General features: G+C 47.5%; 1 protein-coding gene across 2 annotated transcripts in view, besides 2 other annotated features; it reads left to right on the forward strand.

The window, feature by feature from the left end:
* Nucleotides 1-17,846, forward strand: part of TMEM132B (transmembrane protein 132B) — a 475,992-nt gene that overhangs the window by 8,448 nt on the left and 449,698 nt on the right. The gene's annotated exons all lie outside the window — the stretch shown is intronic.
* Nucleotides 12,038-12,288: a silencer, noted in NCBI's record as "fragment chr12:125691417-125691667 (GRCh37/hg19 assembly coordinates)". NCBI's record gives its function as "represses an EF-1alpha promoter that drives an FKBP-Casp9 reporter gene in an ReSE screen in phorbol 12-myristate 13-acetate-treated (for megakaryocytic differentiation) K562 erythroleukemia cells {active_cell/tissue: K562(+PMA)}" and the evidence as "EXISTENCE:reporter gene assay evidence [ECO:0000049][PMID:32094911]".
* Nucleotides 13,568-14,307: an enhancer, noted in NCBI's record as "H3K27ac-H3K4me1 hESC enhancer chr12:125692947-125693686 (GRCh37/hg19 assembly coordinates)". NCBI's record gives its function as "activates a minimal SCP1, AML or CMV promoter by ChIP-STARR-seq in primed H9 embryonic stem cells {active_cell/tissue: H9 hESC(primed)}" and the evidence as "EXISTENCE:reporter gene assay evidence [ECO:0000049][PMID:30033119]".

Below are 17,846 nucleotides of genomic sequence, written 5' to 3' on the forward strand. Positions count from 1 at the left end.
TTGCTAGAAAACTTGTCTCTAAGCAGCAGCGAATCATAACTTTTCCAGGCTGGTGGAGGGCTGCTGGCTGCCTCTGGGCCATATCTGGCCTGCAGACTTTTCTTATTAGTTGCCGACATTTAAAAATTGGGAGCTGTCAATATTACTATACAGGTTTCTGTTTTTTCTCAAGAAATTGGGAATTCTGGGCAGTGTTGGCCTCGCCTCTTGACCTGAGACTCAGTTTCCCTTTCTGTAAAATGGGCTCTGAACTCGCTGTAGCTGGCCTTGTTCCTGGAGACTCCCTCCAATTTGCATCCTTCCTGCCTTCCTGCCTTTGTCTTCTCCGAGACATTTTTACTGTGCACCTGCACTGTGCCAGCCCCTGTCCGTGGTGCTGGGGATATCAGCAGGAAAAAGACAGGCAAAAAACCCTGTCTTTGTGGTTAGCATTAAGGTGGAGAGAGACGGATACTGAACACAATAAATAACTAAACACACCGTTCATTACCTGGTGGTCTGTGCTGTGGAGAAATGGAGTGGGCGAGCAGAGATGGAGCGCTGGGGAGGAGGGTTTGCGGGTTTTTTTTTTTTTTTTTTTTTGAGATGGAGTTTTACTCTTGTTGCCCAGGCTGGAGTGCAGTGGAGTGATCTTGGCTCACTGCAACCTCTGCCTCCCGGGTTCAAGTGATTCTCCTGCCTCAGCCTCCCAAGTAGCAGTGATTACAGGCGCTCACCACCATGGCTGGCTAATTTTTGTATTTTTAGTAGAGACGGGGTTTCACTGTGTTTGCCCAGGCTGGTCTCGAACTCCTGACCTCAGGCAATCCACCCACCTTGGCCTCCCAAATTGCTGTATTACAGACGTGAGCCACCGCACCTGGCCAGGTTTGCAGTTTTATACAGCAGAGTCAGGAAGGTGGCATCTGAACAAAGACCTAAAGGGGTAAGGGAGGAGGCCAGGTGGCTATCTTGGGAAGAGTGTTCCAGGCAGAGGGAACAGCAGGTGTAAAGGCCCTGAGGTGGGAATGTGCTTGGCAGGGTCGAGGGACAGAAGGGAGGCCAGTGAGAGCTGTTCCCTCACTCTTTGGGCTGAACGAGTGAGAGAACAGCAGGAGGAAAGGAGGCCAGGGCAGTGAAAGTTCTAACCAAACTAGTCTTTGGTTAGAACTTTGAGTTTTACTCTGAGTGAGATGGGAGCTGTTGGCAGGTTAGAGCCGAGGAGGGATCTGCTTTGACTCACAGGAGCAGAAGCCCTGAGGGGCTACTGCAGTAGTCCAGGCAAGTGACAATGGCTGCTTGGACTGAGTGGTTGCTGCAGAGGAGGTGAGAAGTAGTGAGATGTGGGGTGTATTCTGAAATTTGAGCCACAAGATTTGCTGATGAATTGGGTTCATTTAGTAGATATTTATTGAGTGTCTACTATGTGCTCATTACTGTACTTGGAATTGGGACCAAATCAATATTTCTTAGTGATGAAATTAACAAACAGAACAACAGAACTTCATCCGTGAGTTGGGCCTTTGCCTTTTGTTTGATCTTCCCAAGAGTCCCAGTGGAGGATGGCCTGCATTTTTGCATCTGTAAGATGGAGATATTTTTACATCATTAATGGCTGGGCACGGCGGCTCATGCCTGTAATCCCAGCACTTTGGGAGGCCGAGGTGGGTGGATCACATTAGGCCAGGAATTCAAGACCAACCTGGCCAACATAGCGAAACCCCATCGCTACTGAAAATACAAAAAATTAGCTGGGCATGGTGGTACATGCCTGTGGCCCCAGCTACTCAGGAGGCTGAGGCAGGGGAATTGCTTGAGCCTGGGAGGCAGAGTTGCAGTGAGCCGAGATCATGCCACTGCACTCCAGCGTGGGTGACAGAGCAAGACTCCGTCACAAAAAGAAACAAAACATCATTAAGGAGAATGAAGTTAAGAGGGGTCATGAGATGATAGTTGTGGAATGTTTACTGGCACATAGTAAGTGCTCAGTAAAGAGTGGCAATGATGAATATTGTTAGTATAATGCTGATGATCTTAATAATGATGCTTGACGCGACCAGGGCTCAGTTATGCTGCTTGCCCCAGGAGAAACACAGCTGGAAAGAGCAGAGTTAGGATTTGACTTGTGGTCTGTCAGACTCAGTTTGGTATTCATTTTTCCTGCTGAAATCACTAAGATTTTTGTTTTTAATTAACTTTTATTTTAAGTTCAGGGGTACATGTGCAGGTTTGTTATGTAGGTAAACTTGTGTCGTGGGGGTTTGCTGTACAGATTATTTTATCACCTAAGTATTAAACCTAGTATCCATTAGTTATTTTTTCCTGATTCTCTCCCGCCTCCCACCCTGCACCCTCCTGTAGGCCCCAGTGTGTGTTGTTCCCCTCTGTGTGTCCATGGAAATCGCTAAGATTAAAAGAAAAAAATTCTTCCTCTGTTCATGATGTGATGATTCTGGCACAGTTTATTGTTCATTTGCTGGTACAGGTGTTTTTGTTTTATTTAGTAGAGGTGTATGTGAAAAGGTCTGTGTCAATCAAATTTTACTTCCTCCATCAACTTCCAGGACATTTTAGAGATGTGTAAATTCTGTTTGACCCTTAGGCGGCCTCGGCTCCTGACTTGTTGCTTGTTATTTTCTGTACCCTTTAATCCAGGCATCAGCAAGCCATAGGCCACGGACCAAATTTGGCCCTCTACTTGTTTTTTAAATAAAGTTTTATTGGAACACAGCGGTGCCTATTTGTTTACATATTGTCTACAACTACTTCTCTACAACAGTGACAGAATTAAGTAGTTGTGACAGGTATCATATGGCTTGCAAAGCCTAAATAACCTGTCTGCTCTCTGGTCTGGTCCTTTTAAAGACAAAATTTGCCTTAAATGTTCAAGTAGGGAATGCTCTGTGAATGTATGTTTATAGGACACTGACAGTGTTCAAAAACAAGCCATCATTTTTAATGTCAGAAAAAATTATCCAGCTCCTCGGTATGAGAATTGTGGGTTTGGTAACTCTCAGTGGAAAAAGAAAAACAGATTGATCGAAAGTTGCCATCAACTTAGTAATGCTTTTGAATGAGTAGGTTTTGGTAATTACAGTAGATTTATGTAACATTTAAAAAATAGTAGCACATGTGTGTGTGAGATATTTTTTACTCTGTAGGCAAAGCTCAGTGGCTCACAGCACAGAAGACCCCTTGTAGGGAGGCTGTGGAGGGAACTGATCAGTGATTTTATACTCAGTGTGATTCCAATCCATAGATCTCTTATAACCTTGTGTTTCTTCATATTGGGTTAAAAGATGGATATAGCCTTCTTTATGTTTAATCTGTGACACCCAGGCTTATGATATTTTAAGTTTCCAATGTGATGCTGCAATGGAGATGATGTGCCAATGCAAGGGTATGTCACTATTTTAGTCTGAATTCTCATAGTTGTAAGGGACAAAAATGGGAATGTAGGCATCCTTGGAGCTGGGAAATTTAAGAGGGAAATGGCTTCAGGTATGGCTGGGTCCAGGGGCTTAACACTCTCCTAATGGGGTCTTCTGCTCTGTCTGCCACTTGGTCTCTTAGTTCTTTTTCTCTCTGTGTTGACTTAATTCTCAGACAGCCTCCCCCCTTCTGATGGCAAAGCTGGCCACAGTTGGCTCCAGCCTGTCCTCCAACCAGCGGAAATAGAATGTTTCTTTCCTAGTCATCCTAGCAAGAACCCCAGGACTGACTTTTACTGGAGTAATTTGGGTCATGTGCTGACCCCTCAGCCAGGGACTGGGACTGTGGGGATGGAATCTGATCGACCATACTTAAGTCCGAAGCTCATTTCTGGAACTGGAATTAGAACCACGTTGCCAGAGAGGAGCAGAGGTTATTTCCCAAAGGAAAATATGGATGCTTGCATCAGAAGGAAGAAAAACTACTACTGCAGACCACCAAGTAGGGTGGTGAGAACCGGCAGGTCTGGAGAGCACTCACATGTGATTGATGCCTCTGGGGTCCCTATGCCAGGAAAGGAGCTGATGCTGCCTCCCTCCTGCCCCTGGAGGCTGCCCTTTGAGCTGCTTCCAAAGCTCCTCCGGCTTCTTTATTGTGTGTGTGACCTCTGAAACCCCAGCCCAGTGACTTCACACATATTTTGGTTGCTTTGGTTGAGGACGAATACTTGGAAGATAATCTGCCAATATGGATTAGAGTAGCATCTGGTCTTTGACCCAGCAATCCCACTTCTGGGAATTCTATATTGTATAAATAAGAGGATTGCCATGAAGCAGGTGTGTGTGCTGTTTCAGAGGCAGCACACAGTGGTAGTGATGGAGTTTGGCTCTTAATCACTGCTGTTTGCTGCCCCTGAAACTGGCACATACACGGCATCGTATGCACTTTTGCATAATTTTACAAGTGTGCAGGAAGGTGTGGGGACCCACGCCAGTGGTTAACCTTACTGACCTCAATGAGGGAATGAAGGGGTGATGCTTGCAGGGCTGATGGAAAAGGAGGGGAGAGAGAGAGGGGGAGGAAACCAAGAATGCGTTGGATATCTTAGCTACGGTAATGCTGATATTTAAGTTGTGAGTCCAGCTCTTAGGGTTCCTGGGTCCCTGTTGGAGCAGGTGGAAACTCTCTGAGTTTGCTGCCATGGTTTGTAGGTTCTGGGGGGCTGTGATACAGTGAGCTCAAGTGACACATTAAGGATGATGCTTGGGGCATCTCTGGGGGAACAAGGAAGCCTAGATTTGATGTACTGTGCATATCTGTTCAGATTGGGTTCATCAGTGAGTGAAGAGACTTAAAATAGTGGTGGCTTAAAAAGCAGAAGTTTCCAATAAGATTTTGAAGTTATGTAGCCCAGGACTGTTAAGTTGAATCTGTTCCATGAAGTACTTATGGACTCTCCCTCCTTTTTACCATTTCAAGGTTGTGATTTTTGTCCTCATGGCTCAAAATGACAGCTACAGGTGCAGCCATCTCATCTCCATCCCAGGCACCAGGATGAAGGTATAGATTAAAAAAAGGGCAGAGGATACACATCAACTGTCATTTAAGGAAGAGTCCTAGAAGCAGCCCCATGGTGCTGCCTCATGTATCTCATTGGTGAAGACTGAGTCACATGGCTACATCTTGCTGCAAGAGAACCTGAGAAATTCAGTCTTTATCTTAGGTTGCTAAAAATCCGGGTTTCTGTTACCATGGAAGAAGGAAAGAATGGATACCGGGCACAAAGTTGTTAGTTTGTGGTAAATCCCTCGGCAGGAAGTAGGATTGCATTTGGAGAAAGGACTTGAACCACCAGTGTTACAACCACACTTGTCTTAATAGAGTTCGTGTGTGTGTGATTTCATTCTGCCTTCTAAGGTGGGGGCTGGGGACATGTCGTTTTTCTGGGTGCCAGGAGGAAAATAAAAGCAATTTGCTGAATGCATAAATGTATCTCTTTCAAATATATAAAAATGGTTTTAGAAGTATTATAGATAAGCCTGAAGTCCTTTTTGACCAATTTCATATTCTCTCAAGAGGTAATCAATTGTTGGTTTGCTGTGTATTTTTTCCTGTAGGAAGTCTATAGTATCCCATTGTTTTAAGTTTGTTTTTATACATATACCCCTTGTCTCTTCAGTATTCATCTCCATCTTCCAGGTACATACAGAACTACCTCATTTTTTTTGAATTGCTGGCTAGTATTCCATGGCACGCATATAGCAAGGTGTAGCTAGTGAATTTCCTCTGCCTCATGAGATGGGGGATTCCTCAGGCATAGAAAGGGAGTTCAGAAAGATTTGCAAATGTCTATCCCACCCACCAGGAATACTGGGTAGGGATCAGCACCCACTGAAGATCTCTAGACATTTAAGGAAAGTGAGGGTATGATTGCGTGATGGCAGAAGAAAGAACTGACATCTGAGGAGATTGAGTTAACAGAGAAATGTCGAGCCTAGGGGCAGTTGGGAGATGGTGGAAGAAGGGGGACTTGTTCTTAGAATCCAGACCTCTTGCCCAAGAGTAGCTTCTTGAGGGCAGGACCCAGCCAGTGCTTCCCAAGTTTCTGTGCCTGGTGGTTCTGGCTGTGGACAATTCTCAGAGGTCTTGGAATGCCAGCCCATCTACTCATGGCATTTCTCCAGATTCTAGGAGCTTTGATCTTAGAATAGGAGCACCGTCTAAGTTCTCTGGTCTATGCCTCTGTAGCACTTAGCACAAACACATTTGTTTCTAATGGAAAACTGTCTAAAAAGCACTATGAATTTATGATGGAAATTTTATTTCTTTGATTTTTTTTTCTCTCTCCACCCACCACCCCCCATGCCCAGCCCAGTTAAGTGTTTCTCTCTTAAATGTATGGGCTGAGCTGCTGAGAGGGTCTGCATATTTCAGGGGGAAAAGTATTGGGGGAGGAGGTGTCGGCCTTGCTGTTTGCACTGGCATCATTTACACAGGCTCCGAAGCAGCCTCATCTTCTATTTGATCAATTTGCCTGTCATCTCAGGTCATTTCACAAGGGTGACTAAATTCTGCTTCTCTCACACTGTAGCAGAGAGCACAGTATGAGGGAGAAAGGTGCTAGAATTTCTTTCTCAATATTTCTTGTCCTTCAAGTTTTCCTTACTCCTCTTACTCCCTTTCTTTCTTCACGAAAGATTTAAATAAGTGTTTGGGTGAGGGAATGAACTACTACAGCACTTCCTGTCAGCTTTATATCGCTCACTGCTTCGTTATATACTGTTTGCCCCTCTGCTAGCTGCTTATGCTTGCTAACTGAAGTACATCACTGAAATTAAGGGCATGAACTTAGGCAGCAGGCTGCCTGGGTTTGAATCCCAGCTCCACCACTGGCTAGCTCTGTGACCCTGGGTGAATTACTTAATGTCTCTGTGCCATAGCATTTTCATCTGTGAATGGGGAGAAGAGGAACTCCTACCCCTTGAGATGTTGTGAGGATTAAGGGAGATATTGTGTAAGAAAAACTTAACGTAGTTAAGCTTGACATCACATCAGTGTTTAACAAATGTCAGCAACTGCTTTGGTCTGCTTTGCCAGTCGGTGAGTTCAGTGAACACCTACTATGTGCCCTGGTGGTCGTCTCTGTGGTGTTGCTCATCTCTTCTCCCACATTATTTCGTATTCAGATTCTGTCATATGATAGAGCTTGTCTGCTTCCTCACCCTGGTGTCACACCCTCATTTTCTTTTGGGGGACCATTTCTCCCTTGCTGTAAATCCCTGTGGCTTGGGTGTTGGTAAACTTTCTCCTCCCCCTCCCATGGGCCAGTTCATGACTTGCACACAACCAATCAGAACGTCCCATCTCTCAGGCCTCAGGGATTGGATCAGGGTTGAGCACATGGCCTAAGCTGGGCCAATGAGGGCCAGCCCTGGGATGTTTGTTGAAAGCGCTGGGGAAGAAGTCTTCCTTTTCTGTTGCAGATGCCAATCTGTTAGGATGTGAGCCTAGAGGTAAGTCATTACTGCTGTGAAATAAATGACTGCAGACTAACAGCTTAAAGCAGCACACATGTGTTATCTCACAGTTCCTGTGGGCCAGGAATCCAGGGACAGCCCCAGGTCCTCTGCCAGAGGTCCGTCCTCTGCCCCAGAAGCTCTCACAAGGCTGCAGTCGAGGTGTTAGCTAAGGTTTGGGTCTCATCTGAAAGCTGGACTGGGGAATGATCTGCTGCTGTGCTCACATGGTGGTTGGTAGGATTCCGTTTTTGTGGGCTTTTGCCCTGAGGGCCACAGTCCCTTGCTGACAGTTGGCCAGAGGCTGCTCTCAGTTCCTGTCCCTGGGGCCCTCTCCATATGGCAGGTTGCTTCATCAGAGACAGTGAGTAACAATCTCTGATCACAGAAGTGATGTCCCTTCAATGTTGAGCCATTCTATCAGTTAGAGGGAAGTTACACAAGGAGGGCTACACAAGACTGTGAACACCATGAGGCCAGATCTTTGGAGGCTGTCCTAGAAGCTATCTACCATTATGGAACTGCCTGAGAATGAAGCAGGATGGAGAAAAACCTGGAGTGCAGGGGGAGTGAGGGAGAGTTTCCTGGTGACCATATTTGAGTGCCCCAAAGTAGCTGTTTCTGATATGAACTTGATCATGAACTTCCCCAGTACGTGATCCAACACATTTCTTTTTCTTAATTGGGTTTCTTTCACTTGCAACCAGAGAGTCCTGGTGAAGTCCCATGAAGGCTTCTCAGATCCCGTTGCCTGGCACTGTCTTCTCCTTTGAAAGGCTTTGGCTTGACTGAAATCTAGGTTGGAGAATGTGCAGAAGCTTACGTCTGCCTCTATACTGAGCTCATCAGGGGCAAAGTTGCATGAATATTTTTTTATTTCCTTCCCTGCTTTACTTCCAGTGCCTAGAATGCTGTGAGACACAGAGTGGAAGCCATCTGCCAGTAATTACTGGTACAAGAGGCCCTTCCTTGTCCCCATCCCTTCCCCTGCTATCAAAAATGTTTCAAAAATTATCTCTATCGACTGCACCTGGCTTATGGTTGGAAAGCTGAATGTCAAAGACAAAAATATTGTTGATGCTACCCCCTAGAGGCAGTGCACAGCTGCACACAGAAATCTCAGTGAAAGTGTGAATTTCACAGCTTTGAGAGGATCTTCTTCATAGAAATGACACATCACAAGCAACAGAGCTGATCAGAGGTAGAGCTTACCAATATCTTTAACATTTTATATGTTAATTGGTTACTTCTGTGACCATCTTGACATATACAAACATTTACCTGACACCAGCATATTCATTTTTACTGATAGGATTTTATAATTTTTTTTCTAGAGTTAGTAGAATTTTACTGCCTATCCAGAACTCATGATCTATTGGCTGCCAATATATAAAAAATGTTTTCTCCATAAAGCACTTTAAAATATTTTTCATTAATACATGATGTAAAGTATAATTTTTTCCTCTTCCCTTGTAAAATTGGGATGTATCATATATACTAGAATTTCTCATAGGTTGGCAGACATGGATGGAGTATACACTATCTATAGGGCAAAACCCTGGTGCATGCTGTAGCCATATCTGCTGACCTGTGAGAAATTCCAGTATATATGCTGACCTCCACAGAGTACTTTGAACAGGGAAACTTTAATATAAAGAACTATCAACTCCTGTGTATAACAGGGGATTGGAATAAAAAGGGCTGAGAAGTATAGAGAACCTTAAAGGAATAACAGATGCCCAAAGCAGCCTACCTAGGGCTGAGATGGAGCGGTTAGGTCAGTGGACTTGCTGGATTCACTAAATGGCAGTAATCATTATCACTGCAGCCATCTTTCAATGAGGGCTCCCTGTGCCAGGCACTGTGCTCAGCCCCTTATGTAGAGTATCTCGTGAATCCTTTCAATGAGGGCTCCATGTACCAGGCACTGTGCTTAGCTCTTTATGTGGAGTATCTCATGAATCCTTTCAGTGAGGGCTCCGTGTACCAGGCACTGTGCTTAGCTCTTTATGTGGAGTATCTCATGAATCCTTTCAATGAGGGCTCCGTGTGCCAGGCAGGGTGCTTAGCCCTTTGTGTGGAATATCTCGTGAATCCTTTTGGTGAGGGCTCCATGTACCCAGGCACTCTGCTTAGTCCTTTATGTGGAGCATCTCATGAATCCTTTCAATGAGGGCTCCGTGTACCAGGCACTGTGCTTAGCTCTTTATGTGGAGTATCTCATGAATCCTTTCAATGAAGGCTCCGTGTACCAGGCACTGTGCTTAGCTCTTTATGTGGAGTATCTCATGAATCCTTTCAATGAGGGCTCCGTGTACCAGGCACTGTGCTTAGCTCTTTATGTGGAGTATCTCATGAATCCTTTCAATGAGGGCTCCGTGTACCAGGCACTGTGCTTAGCTCTTTATGTGGAGTATCTCATGAATCCTTTCAATGAGGGCTCCGTGTACCAGGCACTGTGCTTAGCTCTTTATGTGGAGTATCTCATGAATCCTTTCAATGAGGGCTCCGTGTACCAGGCACTGTGCTTAGCTCTTTATGTGGAGTATCTCATGAATCCTTTCAATGAGGGCTCCGTGTACCAGGCACTGTGCTTAGCTCTTTATGTGGAGTATCTCATGAATCCTTTCAATGAGGGCTCCATGTGCCAGGCAGGGTGCTCAGCCCTTTGTGTGGAGTATCTCATGAATCCTTTCAATGAGGGCTCCGTGTACCAGGCACTGTGCTTAGCTCTTTATGTGGAGTATCTCATGAATCCTTTCAGCGAGGGCTCCATTAACCAGGCACTGTGCTTAGCCCTTTGTGTGGAGTATCTCATGAATCCTTTCAATGAGGGCTCCGTGTACCAGGCACTGTGCTTAGCTCTTTATGTGGAGTATCTCATGAATCCTTTCAGTGAGGGCTCCATTAACCAGGCACTGTGCTTAGCCCTTTGTGTGGAGTATCTCATGAGTCCTTTCAATGAGGGCTCCGTGTGCCAGGCAGGGTGCTTAGCCCTTTGTGTGGAATATCTTGTGAATCCTTTTGGTGAGGGCTCCATGTACCCAGGCACTCTGCTTAGCCCTTTATGTGGAGCATCTCATGAATTCTTTCAATGAGAGCTCCGTGTGTCAGGCAGGGTGCTCAGCCCTTTCTTAATATGAAATATCTCGTGAATCCTTTCAATGAGGGCTCCATGTGTCAGGGACTGTCCTTAGCCCTTTGTGTAGAGTATCTTGTGAATCCTTTCAGTGAGGGTACCACGTGCCAGGCAGGGTGTTCAGCCCTTTATGTGGAGCATCTCATGAATCCTTTCAGCAACCCTGTAGACAAGGAGCCTGAGGCTGAGGGAGGGTGTGACTTGACCAGAGCAGCTGGGGCGGGCATGGCCGGGGCTGCTGGGCCTCTCTGTCTGTCTCCATGTGGTCTCTCCAGCCTGGCAGCTTCAGAGCAGCCCAACTTCTGTGGGCTTCAGTGTGAGTGTCTCAAGACAGAGCCAGCTGGCAGCTGTATGGCCTTTTATGACCCAGCCTTGGAAACCACGTCCGTCGCATTTTACTCATTAGCAGCCAGCCCATAATCCAGGGGAGGGGAATTTGGCTCCACCCTTTGATCAGAGGAACGTCAAAGGATTTGTAGACACGCTTTCAAGCCATCGCAAATTATTTGGAGAAAGATTGCAGCAGGCGGGACCCTCAGTAAGGGTTAATCATTAAGTCACCGAAAATGCCTCTAACCCTCCTGAATCTGGTCTGGGGAGTGGTGGGGTGGGGAAGAAGGAGCTTCTTAGCTCCTGGATTCTTCAGAAAGGCTGTGAGTGGTGGGATAGAGGGTGGGACTGCCCGACCCCACAGCTAGGAGACAGTGGTCCCATGGCCTTGCTCCCTTAGCTTTTTTCGCTTAGTTTTTTCTGGTGGGATGGTATTCCTTTGGTCTTCCTCAGAGGCACCAGATGCCCCTTTCCTGGTGCTGTGGCTTGGGGGCCTATGATTTTTTGTTTGTTTGTTTGTTTGTTTTGAGACAGAGTCTCACTATGTAGCGCAGGCTGGAGTGCAGTGGTGCAATCTCAGCTCACTGCAACCTCCGCCTCCCGGGTTCACATGATTCTCCTGCCTCCGCCTCCTGGGTAGCTGGATTACAGGCACGTGCCTCCATGCCTGGCTAATTTTTGTAGTTTTAGTAGAGACAGGGTTTCACCATGTTGGCCAGGCTGGTCTTGAACTCCTGGTCTCAAGTGATCCACCCACCTCGGCCTCCCAAAGTGTCGGGATTACAGGAGTGAACTACTGCCCCTGGTCTGATTGATATAAACGAGGTCCTCACAGTCTCTGGTCTGGCTCCTGGACAGCGTGCTTGGTGTGGGTGTTTAGTCTTCCTCTGCTCAGTGGCTTGGGAAGAGCCACTAGCCCATTGCTCGGTTGCCTTGTGTCTTGTCCTTGTGGTGGCTTTGGGACCCAGACTTCCCTTCCTCAGAGCCACCTGCCTCCCACTTCCACTTCATTCATTCGCTCTGCTCCTCTACAGGGGATTCATTTCGAGTTGTTAGCATTCTGAGCTGGTGGCAGCCAGCTACCTTCATCAATGTGAGAAACTTGAATTAGAATATTAATTTCACCTGGGGCTTGGACGCATTGTTTCTGTGCTGAGCACATATTTAACAGTGGTGAAAATGCAATTGGCTCGTTCCTCCCATGCTTCTCGCAGAGGCTCCTGGGGGAGGTGTTTGGAGTAAGAGCCCCGCCTGTTTCTCTGTGCAGGTCTGTGAGCCCTGGCTCCTGATGCATTCGGTGGAAGGAACGTTTACCAACTCCTGTACCACTGGTTATCAACCAGCATCTCGTGGCACATACAGCCCAGGGCATATCTGTTTGGCCAGCCCAGTGCTTTAATAACTTTTGAGCCAATATTTAAGAGCTAGAAGATTTAATATGAAAATCTGGATTTTTGGCTTCTCGTTGAAACAGCAGTGGGGCCGGTAGCACTGGGTCCTCTTCCCAGGGAGTGACTATGGACTGCAGGGAGTGGAGGCTGCTCCCTTTAGACACAGCCCCAGTTCACTCCACTGGCATTTAGTTGAACACCTGCTATGTGCCAGGCATGCTTGTTGGTGCTGGCATTGTAGCCCCTGCTGTCAGGGAGCTTACATTCCATTAAGAATGGTCACTAATTTCTGTTGCCTGTTGGAAGCCTCCAGACCGGTGCTATTGGATACATTCTACAGTGATGGAGATCTTCTCTAGCTGCACTGTTCAATATGGTATCCGCCAGCCACATGTTGATGTGGAGCGCTGAAATGTGACCACTGTGTCTGAGGAACTGGGTTTTTTTAATTGCATTAAACATACATAACAAAATTTACCATCTTAACAATTTTTAAGTGTACAGTTCTGTGGCATCGAGCACATTCTCACTGTTATCCAACCATCGCCGCCATCCATCTCTGGAACTTTTTCATTTTGCAAAATGGAAACCCCATACCCATTAATCAGTAACTCCCGTTTCTCCCTTCTCCATTTCCCCAGGCCTCCACCATCTTTCTGTCTCTATTCATTTGAATATAAGTAGAATCATACAGTATTTGTCCTTTTGTGACGAGCTTATTTCACTTAACATTGTATCTTCGAGGTTCACTCATGTGTAGCATGTGCTAGAATTTCCTCCCTTTTTAAGACTGAATAACATCCCACTAGGGAACTGAATTTTTCATTTCATTTCAATTTAATTAATATATATTTAAAGTTAAGTAAATTTAAATGGCTACCCGTGGCTAGCTAATGGCTACTGTGTTGGACAATGTGGGTCTAGGTATTTGAATTTGCATTCCCCACGCCTCAGTTAATCCAACTTCTTCATTGAACAGTTGGGGAAACTGAGGTACACAGATCACACAGAGCCAGAGCTTGAACCCACATCTCCCTGGTAGCTCACCTGGCATGTCTGGTGTAACTAGTATCAGTTAGGCAATGAATGGAGGGATGGCAGTAGACAGAGTTGGGGAAGGTGGGCAGGGCCATGTGGACTAAGGGAAAGAGTTCAACTTTAAAGAGGACAATTTATTGAGCTTAGATTTACATAACAACCATTTCAAAGTGTACATTCAAGGGCATTTAGTTCATTCACAGTGTTGTGCAGTCATCACCTTTAGCTAGTTACAAAACGTTTTCATCACCCCAAAAAGAAACCCTGTACCTTGCAGGTAGCCACTCCCCACCCCCATTCCTCCAGGCCCTGGAAACCACCCATCTGCTTTGTGTCTCTCCAGATTTGCCTGCTGTGGACACTTCATATACATGGTATCACATAGCATGTGGCCATCTGTGTCTGGCTTCTTTCTCATAGCATAACATTTCGAGGTTTATCTCTGCTATTGCATGTGTCCGGACCGCATAGTGTTTTGTAGTGGAATCGTCTTCCACTGTATGGATAAGGGATTGGGATTTGATCTAAGAGCAGTGGGGAACCCCCTGCAAGGCCTTTGGTGGGGGTCTGTTTCTTGCTGAGATGGCCGCGTGGTAGAAAGGAAGGCCCCTTCCACAGCCCTGTGGTAAACAGGTTTCCTCTTCCTGGGTTCCATGAAGCCCATTTCAGCTTTGTGTCCAGGGTCCAAAGGGACAGGGTTCTTGGCTGCCATAGAAGTGGCTGCCCTCGTGTGCCCCTTCATGCCGTCACCACAGGCACCCTCCTAGGTGCAGAGGGTGCTCAGGCCTCGGGCAGGGGCTCTGTAGCTGTGTCCCCTCTGAGTGCTGCGTCCCCTCTGAGTGCTGCGGCCACTCGAATGTCAACTGAGCCCGGGGTTATTGATTTACAGGAGGCAGATTATGTTTGGGAAATCAGAAGGGAGCTCCCGCATGGAGGGGAAGGGATTGTACTCTGATGTGGCTCTTGCCTGGGAAGCGGGAGCCAGCAGGTGGTGGTGAGAGGCTTGGGGATTAAAGGGAAGAAAAAGAAAAGGGGAAGCCTCTGGCCAGCCTGAGCCTGGGTGCACACGAGGGCCGCTCTCTTTCTGTAAATGAATGTTGGGGAGCCTGGCCTGCTGGGTGAGGCTCACATCTCTAAGTGGGGCAGAGGCTCGCGGATGGACCGCCCCAGGGGATGGTGCAGTGGGCTTGCTGTGTACCTTTGTCCCAGCCTGGGACAGCAGACGCTAGCAGTGGCAGCAGAGTGGCTGGTCACTGGGACAGTGCTCGACTGGGGGAAGGGGTTTGGCCCCCTTTCTGTCCTGGTCACCTCAGGGGAGAAGGGTGTTGGCTCAGTCAGCCCTGCTTTGCTTGAGGGACTGACGGCAGGGACCCTGCCACCCCGTTTCCTTTGTTCCTGGCTGCTGTGGTGCTGGTCACGCTTGGGAGCATGGAGACACTCGTTCCTTGTCTCTCCAACCCACCGGCCATTGGCCCAGATCACAGGCACCTCTTTGGCAGATGTGGAGTCTGAGTGGCTCAGACAGGCTGCTCTTTTTGTGTGGTGGCCCTTCTTTGTTCCATGAGTTTCCTTTGTTATCTGATGGAATGCAAGGGTTACTAATTTTATTAAAGAACACAATGACACCAGTTGTACCGGTATAGTCTCTCCTTGTGGAACATGAAATTGTTCCCCAATCCTGATTTCTTTTCTCCTTCACTGGAGATAAATACTGTTAGATGGCCAGAGTGTCTTCCTCGCCTTGTCCTGTGAGTCTCGTAGGTGCCTGCTCATTCGCTTGGTCATTCATTCATTCATTCAACAGGTATTAATGCAATGGAGTCTCCTCTGTGTCAGGCAGCATCCAGACTCTGGGGATGTATAAATGAACAAGGCCAACAAAAATCTCAGCTCTTGCAGGGTGGACAGTCAGATCGGGGAGGCAGATGAGAAGCTAGATAGGTCACTAAAATATTCAGCATGTTCAAAGCAGTAAATGCTGTGGAGAAAAATAAAGCAAGAAGTGAGGTTGGGTGTGGGGTAGGGAGATGCTGTCATAGATTGGGTGGTCTGAGGAGACCTGGGCAGGAAGGTAATGTTTGAACAGAGATCCAGGGAACTTAAAGGGGCAAATTGCAGGGCTATCTGCGGGAAGGAGCGAGTGCAAAGGTCCTGGGGCAGAAGCCATCAGGTGTGTTAGAGGAGCAGCAGAGCTGCTGTGGGGGCCAGAGCAGAGGGAGGGGATGTGGACTGCCGATGAGGGTGATCACATGGTGCCGTGGGCCATGGCAGGGCTTTGAACTTTTGCCCTGATTAAAATGGGGATGCTTTGGAGGGTTTCAGCAGTGAAGTGACTGGACCAATTTCCATTTTAAAAGGTTCTCCCTGTTGTGGTACAGGAGGCAGACTCATGTGGGTAGTGTGAGGTGGGGGGCGGGGCAGGAAGGAAGCTACTGCTGTCGTCTGGTGAGCAGTCATGGGAGCTTGGGGTGGCAGGGGAGGTGGAGGGGACAGGGAAGATACTAGCTATATTTTGAAAATAGAGGGCTGGTGTGGTGGCTCATGCCTGTAATTCCAGCACTTTGGGAGGCCGAGGTGGGCAGATCGCTTGAGTCCAGGAGTTTGAGGCCAGCCTGGGCAACATAGTGGATCCTGTCTTTACAAAAGATAAAACAATTAGCTGGGCATGGTGGCATGTGCCTGTAGTCCCAGCTACTTGGGAGGCTGAGGCAGGAGGACCACTTGACCCCAGGAAATCAAGGCTGCAGTGAGCTCTGATGGTGCCACTGCACTCTAGCCTGGGTGACAGAACGAAACCCTGTCTCAAAAGAGAAAGTACAGGAGAATCACTTGTGCCCAGGTGACAGAGGTTGCAGTGATCTGAGCTTGTGCCATTGCACTCCAGCCTGGGCAACAGTGAGACTCCATCTCAAAAAAAAAAAATGTGAAAACAAGGGGATTATTTTTTCATGGTTTAGATGTGGAGTATGAAAGAAAGAGGGGAGTCCAGGGATATCTGTGAGGTTTTGGCTTAAGCCAAAACCTTAAAATGGAGTTGCCACCAGCTGAGCTGGGGTGTCTCTGGGTGGAACAGGCTCGACTGTGATTGGAAACTCCAGGTTGGGCAGGTTCAATTTGAGATATTTGTTTCCCATGGAGTTGTTGGGTATGCAGCTGGGTTTATGGGTCTGGAGTTAAGAATTTAAACTGTCTCCTGCCCCAAATATGTGTTCCCCAGTCATCTTTCTATCATGTTATCTTCCTCTTCCTTGCTACCTCCCCAAAGTCAGCCTCCAACCCTGTGGGCTTCCTGGGGCACAGCCCACTGAGGGGGAGCGAGGCTGCTCCGAGCAGACCAGCTGTCTGCTGCCTGTTTTCTGCACCATCTCCAGGGCATAGAATGTTGGAACAGTGGCCTGGAGGCTGAGTTCTGGTGGGAGGACTCAGTGAGGAGTAGGGTGGGAAACCAGGGGATCCAAAAAATAAAGACTAAAAATAGAAGGCAGCATGCACATTGCGACCGCCCTCATTCCTTCCACCCGCTGCACACGGTTCACCTCCTTAGCACTCAGTCTGGCTTTCTCTGTCACCAAATATAATAAATGCCTTCTCTTCCTGGCTTCTCGCTGGCAAGGATGAGTGAAGGATGCCCTCTCTTTTTCCCATGCCAGCCACCTCTGACCCTGCCTTTAACCATCTTGTCTGGGGAATTGAGCAAGCTCAGCTCCCTGTGGGCAGAGCAGGTCTCAGGGCGTGTAAACACCCTTGTGAATTGCACCAGCTGGGCATTCACTGATGGGCACTAATGGCTTGGAAGGGAGACACAAATGAACCTACAAATCATTTGTTGGTTTGAACAGGATCCAGAATGTGTGGATTTGGTCACCTTTCTTCCCTCTTCAGGGACCATGGCAGCCTTCTGCCATAGGTAGTTTTTCAGTCTGACTCCGGACAGATGTGAGGCTGATTGCCGGCAGCTTGGGTCCTGACATTTGGTGGGCTTTGCTTTGTGTTCTGCTTTCGATGGCAGGGCTTCCTATCCCAGTGCGGAATTTCTCCACTCTGGCTCCCTGGTAGAATCATTTTTGGGCATGGAGAACCTTTAAGATACTGGTGCCCAGGCAGGATCTAGACCTACTGAACCTCTAGGGATGTGACCTGGGTACTTTTCCTGTTTAGTCGCTCACATATTAATAAATTAATTAATATATATATTTTTTGTAGAGACAGGGTCTTGCTATATTGCACAGTCTGGTCTCAAATTCCTGGGCTTGGCCGGGCGTGGTGGCTCATGCTTGTAATACCAGCACTTTGGGAGGCCGAGGCGGGTGGATCATCTGAGGTCAGGAGTTTGAGACCAGCCTGGCCAGCGTGGTGAAACCCTGTCTCTACTAAAAATACAAAAAATTAGCCAGGTGTGGTGGTGGGCACCCATAATCCCAGCTACTCAGAAGGCTGAGGCAGGAGAATCACTTGAATCCGGGAGGTGGAGGTTGCAGTGAGCCGAGATTGAGCCATTGCACCCCAATCTGGGCGACAAGA

This window comes from Homo sapiens, chromosome 12 (genome assembly GCF_000001405.40).
Source record: "Homo sapiens chromosome 12, GRCh38.p14 Primary Assembly".
Classification (NCBI taxonomy): Eukaryota; Metazoa; Chordata; class Mammalia; order Primates; family Hominidae; genus Homo; species Homo sapiens.